Source organism: Homo sapiens, chromosome 3 (assembly GCF_000001405.40).
Source record: "Homo sapiens chromosome 3, GRCh38.p14 Primary Assembly".
Taxonomy (NCBI): Eukaryota; Metazoa; Chordata; class Mammalia; order Primates; family Hominidae; genus Homo; species Homo sapiens.
Genome location: NC_000003.12, coordinates 173,361,348 through 173,376,893, shown reverse-complemented (window position 1 = coordinate 173,376,893; position 15,546 = coordinate 173,361,348). Strand labels below are relative to the sequence as shown.

The 15,546-nt window shown below is 36.1% G+C and overlaps 1 long non-coding RNA gene across 1 annotated transcript; it reads left to right on the top strand.

The window, feature by feature from the left end:
- The first annotated feature begins 1,902 nt into the window (after positions 1-1,902).
- On the top strand, positions 1,903-2,533 carry LOC124909458 (uncharacterized). Its single transcript, XR_007096172.1, has 2 exons — positions 1,903-2,047; positions 2,178-2,533. It is a non-coding gene; the product is annotated as an uncharacterized LOC124909458 (long non-coding RNA).
- Positions 2,534-15,546: the final 13,013 nt, after the last annotated feature.

Sequence of the window (15,546 nt, the reverse complement as noted above, 5' to 3'; positions counted from 1 at the left end):
TATGCTTTGCCCTAGGAATAAGTAACTGAATGCAAAGATAGGCATATATTCCATTTAATTTTGCATACATACACAAACACTGATAATAATAATAGTAACAATAATAGACAACAGCTATCAAGAGCTTTCAATGTGTCAGACACCAATCTAAGCTCCTTACATGATCTTCACAATAATCCTTTTAAATAGGTATTCTTTACTATCTCCACTGCACAGCTGAGGAAACAGACACTGAGTGTAAAAAAATTGACATTATTTGGGAATTCACAAACTACCACATAGATAGTAATTTCTGGAGCTAGGATATATAGCAATGTATAATATATAAACTCATTACCTTTTTAATAAATTTCTATACATTATTAACCATACATTATTTACTATGTACATTTATCCAAGTTTATTACTAAATAAAGCAATAACATTTATTTGTTCTGGATTCCCAAAATGGCAGTGTAAGTTCAATGATTAAGTGCTCTTCTCACACCAAACTTTTATCAATAACTTTTAAAAAATGATATGAAACGGTGTAGTTATGATGGTGAACTTTATAAGTCAATTTGACTGGGCCACAGGGTGCCCCAGATATTTGGCTATACATCATACCGGGTGTGCCTGTGAGAGTGTTTCTCGGTGAGATCAACATTTGATTCTGTAGAGTAAGTGAAGAACATTGCTCCCCTCAATGTGGGTAGGTCTCATCCAATTCATTAAAGACCTAAATGGAACAAAAAGGTGGGAGAACAGAGCATTCTGTTTCTCTTCCCACTGTCTTTGAGCTGAGACTTTAGTCTTCTCCAGCATTTGAACTTGGATGTGGGGCTTACACCATTAGTTATCCTGGTTCTCAGGCCTTCAGATTTGAATTGGAACTTTACAATTGGTTCTTTTGGGTAGACTTGCCAATTGTAGATCTTGGACTTTAAGTGTCCACAATTGCATGACACAATCCCTTACAATAAATATTTTATTTATGCTATTCAAGATATACATGCTTTGTTTCTGTTTCTCTGAAGAACCGTCATACAGTCATTATGTTCAAAGACAAACATTTTCATTGGCCCAAAATAGAAGAGAAACACACAGTGTTAAGAAAGGTTAAAGCTACAGGCCTTGCTGGCTTCTAGGTCTGAAAGAAAGTAAAAAGCCACAAGGAAGTCAACTGCTACAAATAAAAGAGATGAAAAGCATCCAACACACAGCAAAAACCAGAATCAGGCTCCATTGTGACATCAGGGACTAGGACTGATAAAAACGCTGACCTCTGCCTAGGTCTGCTCAGTGGGCAGGGTAAGAGACCACTGTATAACCTGGAAATGGGTCAGGCCACCCACTGGCATGGAGGTGAGATATGCAATGTTGCCACATGTGTGGCAGAGAGATCATGGGTACAGAGAGAGAGAGAGAGAGATAAATTAACTATTTAGAAAAGGCTAGAAAGAAAGCATAAGTGATAAGCTATTATTGAGGAAAATCAAATAATAAATAATATAATCCTAGAGATAAATTCACTCCCAGTGAATTGAAAATAATAGAACAATCTAAAAATTACTTTAACCTAAGTATATTTAGTGTTGTCAAAAAGATAGAGGAATAAATAGCACACTTAAAAAATAAAAACTGAGAAACCAAAAACAACCAAATATAAATTAAGAACAGAAAAAATACAGAAAATAAGTAATCCTGGAAGAAAGCTGTAATTACTAAAAAAAATCACTAAAAAAGTAAAAAATGCAGACTGGATAAAGACAAATATAGTATTGAGGACTTCGTTCAAAACATAGCAGGGAAAGGACAAGGTGGTAAATGTTAAATATTAAGAGAAGTTATGGATCCAGGTGCTTCTGCCTAGGGTGCAGAAATATGTAAAGAGTGTTACTACTGCTCTGAGGACAAGAAAAAGCCAGATAAACTGCAAAATCATAACTTCTCTTGAACCCATCAGAGAGCTAAGTAGCCTGAAATCCAAGTCAAGACATGACATAAGCATGCTTCACCTGTGTTAGAGCATGTAAGGAAAAGATGGATGTCAGGGACACATGAACAAGTAAGAGGAATCCAGCTGGAATGTGAACAAATTTCTAAAGGCTTAGTTTAAGCTTGGGTAAGAAAATAGAATCCCTCAGAGCAACAGAGGTAAGTGGAATCCACACCCACTCACTATCTCTTCTCTACAGGCTTCCTTCCAATGCATACTAATAACAAAGATGGCAGGCATGGAGATTACAGAAAGCTTCTCTCACTGGTGCATGCCTGGAGGAAGGAAAAGCTCCTTTCCAAAGAAAAACCAGGAAGCCAGCTAGACCCTAGCCCTTATAAAACAGAAGTCTTTAGCCCCTGGAGGAGCATGTAGCAAACTATTGCTCCCAGAGCACAGTGGAAGAAGACTTATTACAGCTGAGAAATGGATAGATAAAAAGGAACCCTAAATTGCAGATGATGCCAGATACGTCTGCCAAAATGTTGGATTTTTCTCTGTGATGTCAGGTTTTAGATCTTTTGCTTTTAAATAAAGATATAATGATGAATAAAATTGAATGACTTCTTGAATGGTTTAACTTAAACTTAGCTATTAAATAAAAGGCTAAAGAGATTTAGCCAACTGGTAGTGTTCTTACTCTTCAGAAAATCACCTTTTTCACTGTTGCCGTATTATTCTTTTGGCTTTTACTGTTGTTACTTTAAAAAATTATTATTAATTTAATATCAATGACACAATGCCCATATACCTTCTTATTAGCCTGCATACTTATCCATATTCATATGTTATAATATGACTATAAAAAGATAATATTCTCTATCATTTAAAAAACTTCTGTTAGGGTGTTTTGAGAAAAGTGTATTCCTAAACCGTCAAAGTCTTGATCATTCCCTGAAGAGAATGTTGTACTACTGCTGACATGACAACAGGCTTACTTTTCTCCAAACTCTCCCTAAGTTTGACTTTGAGCATAACTCCAGGCACAAGTGAATACTTCCCCAGTGGCTCTTCCCAGTTGAGAAGAGGTTAGGAATGTTTGCAGGCCTCTGCCACTGAAACTGTTATTTTAGCCTCATTATTAAAACAGGTTGTACTACCTAAGTTGCTAGATTGTTTAGAGGTTACACGAAATAATGAGGTAAGAATTCAGAATCAAACCAATACCCATTAGGAACTGTAATTAAAGACTATTTTTATCCAAGCAAGTTAAATGCCCTCAATAGCAACTGGGATCACACCCTGGAAGTTAACCTCAAGAGCCAAATATTTTCCTGCCATTGCCTAGGGAGAATTCACTACTAAAAAATTACCTCAAAGAACGAACCAAAACAGCAGAAAAATTCAGGAACATACTCTCTGTACGCTGTCTAATAGTCTCACCTGTACTTCTAAGATGGTAGCCTCAAAAACTATCGGTTTAACTGTGGCCCGTACCCACTTCATTCTTGGTCACTGGACAAATGTAAGATGGCTCTAGTGAGCTACTTGCTCAATCCCAGTATTCACATACAACCTTGTGATTTCTTCATTTTGCCTTTTTTTTTTTTCAAATTGATGCTCCTTTTAATCCAACCTTATTTTTTCTAGAATCCTAGTTTTGTGGTAAATATATTTATCCACATATGTTTTACCTAATGTTTCTTCAAACTCCCTACATCAACTAAAACCAAGTTGGAACATAGGTTCCCCTGAAGACAAGTCAAGTGGTGACTGTTCATATTCCTATACCTGATTCTGTTACCTGAGAGTGCAGAAAGCACAAAATCTCTTAGCTCACCATTGCTGCCTCCGGATACATTACTTTTTCTCTTAAATGTGAAATATTTCCTCACTAGATGCATAATAGTTGGTAACACTCGACATTTGTCACCCATTGACATTCTGGTCACTTCCCCCCTGTTTGTTGAACATTTTGATAAAATGACTTGTGATTTTTCTTTTCATTACAATCCAAGCTATCGGTATTTGTCCATTTTCACAGTTTTGTAAAGAAATACCCAAGACTGGGTAATTTATAAAAGGAAGAGGTTTAATTGACTGACAGTTCCACATGGCTGGGGAAGCCTCAGGAAACTTACAATCATGGTGGCAGGCGAAGGTGTTGCAAGGACCTTCTTGACATGGTAGCACCAGGGAGAAGCGCAAAGCAGGGGAAATGCCAGGTGCTTATACAACCATTCGATTTCGTGAGAACTCACTCATCATCACAAGAATAGCATGGGGGAAACTGCCACCCGATCCAATCACCTCCCTCCCTCGACACATGGGAATTACAATTCAAGATGTGATTTGGGTGGATACACAGAGCCAAACCATATCACCATCATCATAGGAAAACTCAAATTTCTCATGATTAACCATCAACACTTCAAATGCTTAAAAATGTACTTAAAAATGCTTTCCATAATTGAAAATTCTAGGATAATGATACTTTCTAACAACCACCAATAAGCTTATAGAATTCTGTAGCTATTATAACGTAAAAAGAGAATCCATTTCCTCTTTCTGTTTAAATATACCAAACCATTGTAAAACTATTCAGCAGTTGGACTATGCTTATACAAAGTACAGCTTATTCAGCAAGGAATAACCTGTTTAAAGGTAATATCATCTGTATGTAAATATATGAAGAAGTAAAAGAATTAGTATAGGATACAGAACACCTAAACTACAAAAAAGTCACATACAGCATTTAAAAACTATCAGTGTATGAGTGCATATCAAAAACTACAAATAATTACCTTGTGTATGTGCACTCTTCAAGAAACCCTTTGCTAGGGGGTCAAAGGAAATAAGGAAATAAGGAAATAGTTCTGTTCCCATCCGTTTGGATTCTCTTCCTCATCATCTAGTGCTGCCATCTGCTGACCTCTTCTGCATCCCACACTTTTTGTGTCCCACATTGGAGCAGAACTGAGGTTATTAATTTTAATAGTAGAGAATTCTCCAACTCCCTGGATAAAGGTTCCTTACAGTCAGACTCCTTGGAGGCTTTATCAGTGGTATTTCTGTGACTTGTAGCCACTCCATTGTCGGCACAATTTAAGAAGACTTGTCCTTCCAAAAGCCCTGAAAAATGCCAGGCTCAGCCACTTACTACCTGGGAATGGCCTTTCTGCCCTGCATGCTCTCTGCTCTGTGCCTTCTGGCTCTTTCTCAGTCCATCTGAACTGTGTTTATTGGAGCTTCCAGGCTGAGTCCTACCTCACAAAGGCTCCCTCTCTACACAGAAAACATGAACTCCAGATTGCTTGATTGTAACATCTGATATTGCTCCCAGCTTCAGTTACCTGGAGTTTTACTGCTTAGCTGTTTGTGTTTGCTTACTATAGGCTGTAGGCATAAACGACATATGTACAAAAACAAAATATCAGGATTCAGAGAATTTCAATAATTGTTGCAGGAAACAAGAAATGATCTGACTACAAAACAAATAATAGAGTTCCTAAGCAGTACTGAAGAATCAGTTCATGATGAACACACATTCTGATTAAAAAGAAAACAACTAGTTACATGGTTTTCTCAAACAGCATTTACAAGAGCTGAAAAGGAAAGCCATTTAGTTGAGTTCATTCAGGTTTGCAGGTTGGCCAGGTAATTGGCAAGGGGGTTCAGAGTATTGAAAAAAGGGTAATTAAAATTATGGATCGTGGACTCTGCTGTCTGGAAACCCTGATGTCAGAAAACTTGTAGTGGAAGTAGACAAACAGATAACTTGAAGGTAGAAAGCTGTCATCTGACAGTAAGATATCTGAATTAGTGACTTCACAAATGGAGCAGTCCAGAGAAATACAAATCAAGATTATGACCATAGAAATTGAGAACTGCTGTGGACTGGTGAAAAATATCACTGAATGAGTATCTAAAAGTCATGGAGGACAGAATACTGAGCTCCTCTCTCTCTGGACTTGCACAGTGGACCATGTCCCAGTCATTAAAAAATGAGAAGGAATGGTCAGGAGGTTGATTAATAATAGCAATGAGGCCGAGCACGGTGGCTCACACCTGTAATCCCAGCACTTTGGGAGGCCGAGGTGGGAGAATCACGAGTCAGGAGATCGAGACTATCCGGGCTAACATGGTGAAACCCCATCTCTACTAAAAATACAAAAAATTAGCAGGGCGTGGTGACACACACTTGTAGTCCCAGCTACTCAGGAGGCTGGGGCAGGATAATTGCTTGAGCCAGAGAGGCGGAGGTTGCAGTGAGCTGAGATCACACCACTGCACACTCCATCCTGGGTGATGGAGCAAGACTCCATCTCAAAAAAAAAAAAGAAAAAAAAAGAAGAAAAAACAAAGCAATGAAGTAGAGAAAGTGAGATAGCGTAGGAACCAAGAGTTGGGCAGTACGGAGAATGAACGGTGGTCTGGAAGCAGCTCATGGGAGCAAGGAGGACACCAATATCACATGAGGTAAATGGGTTTTGAAAGTATCAGCCTTCTCCAGGTGAGGTGATATGGTTTGGCTATACCCAAATCTCATCTTGAATTGTAGCTCCCAAATCCCCATGTGTCATGGGAGGGACTTGGTGGGAAGTAATGGAATCATGGGGGGCGGGTTTTTCCTGCGAAGTTCTCATGATAGTGAATAAGTCGCATGAGATCTGATGGTTTTATGAAGGGCAGTTCCCCTGCACGCACTCCCTTGACCGCTGCCATGTAAGGTGTGCCTTTGCTCCTCCTTTGCCTTCTGTCATGATTGTGAGGCTTCCCCAGCCATGTGGAACATGAGTCAATTAAACCTCTTTTTCTTTATAAATTACCCAGTCTTGGATATTTCTTCACATCAGGATGAAAATGGACTAATACATGAGGTTTCTGCAGAGCATATGCTGTTCTCAGGGGATAGACAATTTTCAGTTAGGAAAAGAAATTTGGAAGAATATTCTGAGAAAAAATGTTCAGAAAATACATGTTTTAATCCTGGGGTCCCAGGAGCTCAGGAGAAGCAGGGAATTAAAGAAAAATTCTGTCACAGAAGAAGTACACACTTTTGTGTAGCTTTCTGTATGCAAAAAGTAGATGAAAGATGGACTAAAACTGAAAGACAGAAATAGCAAAGCTAGGAATGGCGATTTCACTCTGTCAGTCTTTCCTACCATTGAGGACACTTTAACCTAAATGAACTCAACTGCAGCCCAAACTGAAAGCCTAAGGCTTGGGGCATAGGTTCAGGTATTTCATTTCCACATCATCTATTTTTTCAACTTATTCAACAAATATTTGTTGAGTGCATACTATGAACCAGGCAATATTCTAGGTAATTAGAATACATTGGTGAGCTAAATAAGCAAAAAAACCTCTGCTTTTGTGGTGTTTCTGTTCAAGAGGGGGAAGACAGGAAACAAATGATAGATAACTCTACAAAACAAAAGAGAACACGACATAGTATGTTAGAAAGCGATGAGTGAGAAGGAAAGAAAAAAATATAGAGTAAGGGGTGGTTATGTGTGACAAGAAGAATGAATTAGAATCTTACATAGGGTGGTCAGGTTAGGACTCAAGGAGATGATTATATTTGAACAAAACTTGGAGGAGACGATGGAATTAGCCACATGGACACCCAAGGGAAGAGCATTCTAGGCAGAAGGAATAGCCCTTGCAGATACAATGACATGACCTGAGAGAGCTGATGGAAGATAATAAGTCATCATGGGCCTTGTGGCCCTTCATAGCTAATAGCACATTGGACTGAAGCCATAGTTACTGAGCATGTTACCTCACCCTTCACTAGGTCAATGGTACATGCAGTAGTTGGTTTTAACAAAGTTTAATGGAGAGATACCACTTTCAAGGCAACTTGCATTGAAGTATCAACAGTTTCAGGAAGTTTTCAATGTTGATGCACAGATGCCATTCACACACACACACACACACATACACACACACACACACACACACACAGAGAGAGAGTGATATCTTACATTATTAGGAAATGGAGTCAAGAATGAATTCATTATAGGAAATGAAAACAGTATAGGATATGAATTATTATTCTGATCCTTATTCAAGGCATATCTAGAAGGACAACAAATGAGAGAGGATACCTGGGGATTGGAGATTTAGAAATTCTACCATCATCATCATTGCATAATGAACACCATGTAGCTAATCATGCCTTTTTATTGCAGTTCACCACTATTTGAGTGTCTGCTGTTCACAGTCTCCAATGACTTCATTAACATTTAGTCACCACTGTGGCTACCGGTAAACCCAGCACTGACTCTTTAAGCCATACTTACTCACCATTGCAAAGAGTTCTTGGTGACCCTAAAAACAAGCCCTAAATGCTGCTGAGTTATAAACTATCACTCAGAACTCTTCCCTCTCTTACAGTAGATTTCAGTTGCTTATATTCCACTTCACTCTGTGGTGAACACTTCACTTCAACATTGTTGTCCATACTGATTTTGATCCTGGTCTCTGACTCCTTTGAGATTGTGCATTTTTTCTAATCCTCCACTCGTCTCCAGCAACTAAATCTTTTCTACTGTAGATTTTCTGGATTGATTTACCCCTCCAGTGTTATTATATTGTTTTTAATTAAGATTCTCTGATTCAATTACTGACCCCTTCTCTCCTTACCCTCATTTTTCAACCTCAGTAAGAAAACCAGATACTATTAATTTCCATTGCTCTCTTCCATATTTCTGATTTTCTCCCTCCTTATCTTTTTGTTTCCTGTTACATAAAGAATGCTACTCTTTTTGCCAAAAAAAAAAAATCTAATTTTATCTAGACTTATTCTTCCTTTCTTCATTTTGGAAGACAAATCAGTTATAACATGGAACTGTAGCCCTGGGATCTTCATTTCATCTAAGCTGTTTCTGTTGTGTATTTCAAGTGGCTACAGGAAACAAGTCTCCATGACAAAAAGGAAATGGGCAGAGGTGATCCTGTGTATGCATGTTTTCTCCAATTGTCTTCAGATCTGGATGAAAGCCTGGGGTTTTAGGATGCCTGGTCTCCAGATAGCCAAGCTTTACTGTAATAAGCGAATTGTACATGGAGATTAACACTAATAGCTACAATGGGAAATAACATTAACTTTGCAATTAAGACAAAAATGTTATATATGCAAGGAAATGGAAGGGTTTTTTATGGAATCATAACCATTTTTAGAGCTGGATGACACTGACAGATCCTTCAGATAAATCCTGAGAGGAGAAAAATTAAATATGTTCTCTCTCTCTCTCTCTGTCTCTCTCTGTCTCTCCCTCTCTCTCTCTCTCTCTATATATATATAGATTTATGTATATATGGATATATATATTATATATGGATATGTATATATCATATATATTATATATAATATTATAGATATGTATATATAATATATACATATGGATATGAATATGGATATGTATATATTATATATATTATATATGAATGTATATATCTATATAAAATCACCTCTCTCTCTATATATATATATATATAAAATCACCTCTCTATATATATAAAATCACCTCCCTCACATGGAGGCATTTTACCACAGGCAATACAGAAATGACGGAGACAAGCTATTCACTAATTAGCACGTGTCTGTTGCTATAGCTTTAAAGCATTTACATCTCTCTGTTTTGTTTCCACCACACTTGGTTCACATCTTTATTATTCTGATCCTTTTTCAAGACATATCTGGAAGGACAAGAAATGAGACCCAAGGAAATAAGGCTTGTCTCTGAAAGTTTAGACTATTTAAATGTACACATAATTTGGGGAGATAATGTATTCCTGAAACACCTACTTCTAATTTAATCAGGAATAATAACCTATATAATAAAAATGTTTTAATTTTTATTTTATTTGATCTGTTTTCCATTTCTTCTTAAGACCCTTTAAGCAAAATAGCACAGAAGTGACAACTGTCAGCTTTAGAATGAAGCTGCACTCAAAATCTGGTTCCTCATTTCCCAACTATAGGACTTCAGGAAAGTTGCTTAACCTCTCTATGCCTCATTTTCCCTCCTTGTAAAATGATTTTCTGATTCATAAACTTGTATTGAGGATTAAATGAGTAAATATGTAATTCATAGTATGCTCTATGAATGAGTAAATATCTAATTCATGGTATACTCTATGGTAATATTTTTGATATGAGAAAATGGAATAATATGGAAAGGAAATGTAAACGTTTTCATCATAGCAAAAGAACATCTTCAATGATGTATCCACTAATGTTCAGAATGTAGTTACTGTTGTCTTGTTTGAAGGTTGATAATCTCCCCTGAGTACACTGATATATCTAATTTCTGGAAATACCAGAGTAATAGACACACTCTGAACTGTGTGATGGCCCACGTCATAACATTCTGTGAGGCTACTTGCCTGCTGACCCTCTCCAAATGAAAGCTCCTCCATTTAATACATGTACATTCACTCTACAGTATATTTTCATACAGTATGTATATGGGCCACACATACTTTTCTGCCTCCACATTAGATTCTGTGTTCCATAGGGCAGGGACCAGATTTATTTATGTTGGTGTCACCACTGGGCAGGAGTGCTGTACTTGTATTTGGATAGAACTTGAATGTTGTTCTAGAATATAAATCTCTTGCAGAAATATAAATATATAAGACCTCCGTATCTTATTTATATTTGCACTGCTAGTTTATAGTGTAAAGCCCTAACTCACAGTGGGCACTCTATGGCTGTTGGTTGAGCCCAGTAAATGTTGAAGTTCTTTTATGATGACTCTAGATAAAGTCCCAAGAATCCCAGATGTAAGTATTAGAGTTTATAGCGTTCAGCTGATAAGGGCTCATTGGTACAACAGCCCACAGAAGCTACATTAAACCTTTTCTTCTTAAATAAAACTAAAATCATTTAGTCACAGATGTTCATTATTTCATTTTAAAAATTAGAAAGGTTGAAATTAAATATACTTTTTATAATCTTTTAAAAAATTATCATTATTTCCCTTGCTTCTGTGATAATAAAATGGCTTCTACTCCTAAATAATTTCCTACCGAAATAAAACTTGGGATTAATTAAATGACATTTTATAAGCTTTAATAAGTGAAGCAAATGTTGGAACCCCAATCAATCTGAAGCAAGCTATCCCTGTTTTATGTTTTCTGTGCATAAATGTGTTTTCAAAGATTCAAGAAGCATAGGGAGAGGGGACAACTTTTTAAGTTGCACACTCTTCCACACCATAGCTGCTATGACTCTGGTAACTTGTACCTGCAAAATCTTCCAGCCCAAGTTCTGTTTCCTAGTGCAGAATTTAGAAACATCATCAAGGATAAAAAACCCATTAATCTTTTCAAATGCACCATTTGTTGAAGGACTGAAGTCACCACTGATCAGGAACTGAACAGATGGAAGAATCTCAGTGAATGCCCGCTTCAATACAAACCACTGAGATGGATGTTTGGGAGGACCAAAATGACAAGTCAAGGGTCATGCTCAGAACAGATGAATTTCATCCTACAGCCTTTATTAGGCTTTGAAAAGGATGGAGAAAGCAAGACCAAACATTAGTTTTGCACTTGCTGTGTGTCATTCACCAGACTATGTCCACATAATTCCTGAAACACAGATAATACGAACACATAATTAGGTTCCATACCACGATGCATCCTCTTTTACTCTAATGTGGTTCTGAAACAGATTTCATTGGTGAATACCAAAAGGACTAAAGGTGGGGGGAAAAAACCAAAATAATTTACTACATGAAGTTACTTGACTTATATTCCTATATTCAGTTACTTTATCCCAAAGACTTGAGATAAGAAAAGATGAGAAGAGAAATAATCAGGTAGAACTGGAAGGATTATTTGGGACTGCCTGTAAATGAAAAGATTGTTGTTTATATTCTGAAAATTGCAAACAGGTTTTTTGTCAAAACCTTGCCATGTCATTTTTAGGGATCATGGTCCCAAATAGCCCTTCCAAAGATGTTCACATCCTCATCCCCAGAACTTGTGAATATATCAGCTCATAGGGAAAATGAACTTTGTAGGTGTGATTAAGTTAAGTGTTGAGAGGGAGAGATTATTCTGGATTATCTAGGTGGACTCAATGTAATTACAAGGGCCCTTATACAAGAAAGAGGGAGTGAGGGGAGTTAGTATCAGAGAAGGAGATATGGCAATGAAAGTAAAAGTGGGAGTGATGTAGCCATGAGCCAAAGAATGTAGGTGAACTCTAGAAGCTGGAAAAGACAATGAACACATTGTCCCTTGGAGCCATCAGAAAAAACACAGCTCGCTGACACCTTGATTTTAGCCATGTAAGACTCATTTCAGACTTCTGACTTCTGGAATGTAAGAAAATAAAAATGTGTTATTTTAAACCACTAAACTTGTGGTAATTTGTTACAGCAGCAAAAGGAAACCAACACAGATGTGATAATTAAAGTTTAGTTTTTAGTGAAAATGTAAAACTAGGTTTCTGGGTACTGAGAGGCCCCAGGAAAAAAAAAATGGGAATATTACATTAATCAAATTGATGGTAATGGGCCACACAGGGGAATCCTATAATCAAAGTTTACAACAGACTAGGGAAGATGCCAAGGGCACGTGATTCTCTAAAAGTAGTGCAAAGCGCATGTGTGAAAAAAGCAAAGGGGACAATAAGTTTTACAATTCATCCACGTTTACCACTTTTGGCAACAATGCATATATAAATATTTCTGAGAGGCATGGGAATATTGCTATTTATCAGCTAGCATCTTTGACTTTATAGCATATAATCTAACCCACAAACACATATTTTATATCTACCATTTGACTACTGTTTATTAATCTCCATTCTTGGTTTGTCTTAAGCAATGAATTACCACTCTATCCTAAAATTACTACTGTCTGATTTGGCACAGGTCCAAAATGAGTACATAAATAGAGTAAAATTGTATACTTGGGATTCAGCAGGTAAAAAATATCAGGGACCACAATACAAAAAATCTAGAATTTTACTTTCAAAGAAACATTTTTTAAAAGAAAAATATATAAATGATTATGGCCAAATTATAGGCATATTAATTTTGGCCTATATCCTTTGTTGTTGACTTTTCAGATAAAAGCATGTTGAGCTTTATTTTGTCTTTACCTTCATAAAATACAATAGTTAAATGCTTAGCTATGAATCCTTCAACCTTTGGTTTATATCCCAGCTCTTTCACCTACCAATGCCTTGCTTAGCTGCCCTATGTTACTTAACATTTCTATGTTTTAGTTTTTTTCATCTGTAACATAGTGATAATAATAGTACCTAGCTCATTAAAATAATTAAATGGAAAAAATAGATATAAAACACTTGGTAGAGTTTTACAGAAAGCTCAATTAGAGGTAGATAGCATCAGCATTATTATTCATTATTTCATTGACATCAAGACAGCAAATTTCCTAACAACTATTTACTATATTCTAGTAATAAATTCCTAAGCAAGTATGTCTATAATGCATTTCATAAAAGGAACTCAAGTTATAAATAGAGTTTTATAATAGCGGGGTCTTCCAGACCTTTCTTACCCTTAATTTAATTAACTGGCCCAGTACAAAACAAACAAAAAAAATAGACTTGTATCAACGTTTTCCCCTTTGGAAAATTGTGGGATACTTTTGCAGCTCAAACATGTTTTCTTTCTTAACATTTATCATAGTTATTTGGTGATTTGTCAATATGAACCTCATAAGGGATACTCTACACAAACTTTTTTGCTACCTGCTCTGTGTTTTCATAGCCCATATTTCACACTTTCAACACTATTTGAAATAATAGTATTTATATGTTGCTGCCCCCAATTAAACTGCTTACTCCTTGAGAAAAAACACTAGTCTTATTTATGGTGAAATGCCATGCATATATTAGGTACTCAAAAATCTATGTGTTGATTAAATGAATAGAATTATTAAAAAATTACTTACCATATTCTGAGCCATTTCAATGCCTAATTCCTGAATAGTGAATCTATGATTTGTGCTACTTGACTCTGAGCTAAAACAGTAACAGATTCTGCATTTACTGTGAATTTCCCAGTAAAGGCTCTGACAGTGGACGTGATCATAACTTGGAGCTAGATGGTAATATATCATTTGTTGCAAATAATATATAGAAATAATATATGCAAGCTCAGGGATTCTAATTTTATTTATTAGCTGATTATATATGTTAAGAATACAGGCAATCAACATTTTCATCATCTCCTCTAGAAAAAGTAAATTAATAGGTTTTTCAGCACAGTGTCTATTCCCTCCCTGTTCGCAATACTTCCCCTTCTCCACTTCCCCTAAATCCTGAAAGCTCAGACTTGACTGGGCTGATGTCCTTTGGTTTGAATGGTCACACTCTTGCTTGCCAAAGAATAAATCATACCTCAAGCTGATAGACTTTTGATAAGCAAACCAGTGAACGGGAGGACACACTTTCAGTAATTGCACTGTAAAATTGTTGAGCTCTAGTTTTCCACTGACATTATTCATGTAAGTAAATTTATAAGTATTATAAAGAAAATTAACAAAAATATTTTTATAATTTATTGTCCAACACCTATTAAAACACTTTGTAATAAAAAGACTATGTACACCAGAATATTTTCACATGACTTTGCAAAAAGCACTAGGTTCAATATATTTTCAAAATAGAATTATCAATTACCAATAAGTCTTTTTTATTTAAGCATCCTGTTTATAATTTGATGTTTTAGAGAATCAGCAATCACACAGTAACTTGCTAAGTAGAGTGAAAACTTGAAAAGTGAAAACCTTCACCTAAATATCTTTATTTTGATGCAGACAACAAAGAAATTATGGTTGTTAAGGGCAAAATACATAAAATTGCACGTGGTTGAATACATAATAGATCTTAAGAATGCCAGCTATTTAAATAACAACTTTGAAAACATATTAAAAAGCAGCAGAAATAAAAAACTGTTTTCCTCCTTTGAAAACTACCTAGACCACACTTTTCTTATAAAAACAGTAGAGGAAGTGCTACCCACTCACCTGAAAGCTTTGTTTCTTCTCTTTCGCATATGGGCTCTCAATTTGATGAATAAAATATTTTGGGAAACAAAGTATAAGAGTCGAAATTACCAGGTTGATTTTACTCTCAAAAACACTTTTCTTCTACTTTGTTTTGTAGTCTGCCAAGCTTATCATACTTTCGGCAGATATAAGCAACCTCTGTTGAATCAGTCTCATGAAGCTAGTTAATGCCGCTAGCAGCCACTGTTACCTGGCAATACTCATCAGAGATGTTTATTATTGTTATTAATCAGTAAGGTGAACTGACATTTAGAATGTTCATATAACAGGCTTAGTGACTCTCCCTATAATCAAAAGATTTTAAAGATAGTCGTAAGATATTTGAGAAGGATCTTGGCTTATTGAAAGAGGCAAACATTTAGATTCAAAATATCTTCTAATTAGTAAAAATATTTACTAATTTGGAGGTTGATATTTTTTTCTGTAAAGACGGAGATAATACATTATTTTTTTGCCTTTGAGGGTTATATATTTTCTCTGCTCCCTCTCCTCCTCCTCCTTCTTTTTCTTTATGTTTCCTCTCTCTCTAATCCTTTAAAAATTTTAAACTTCTCACCTTGTGA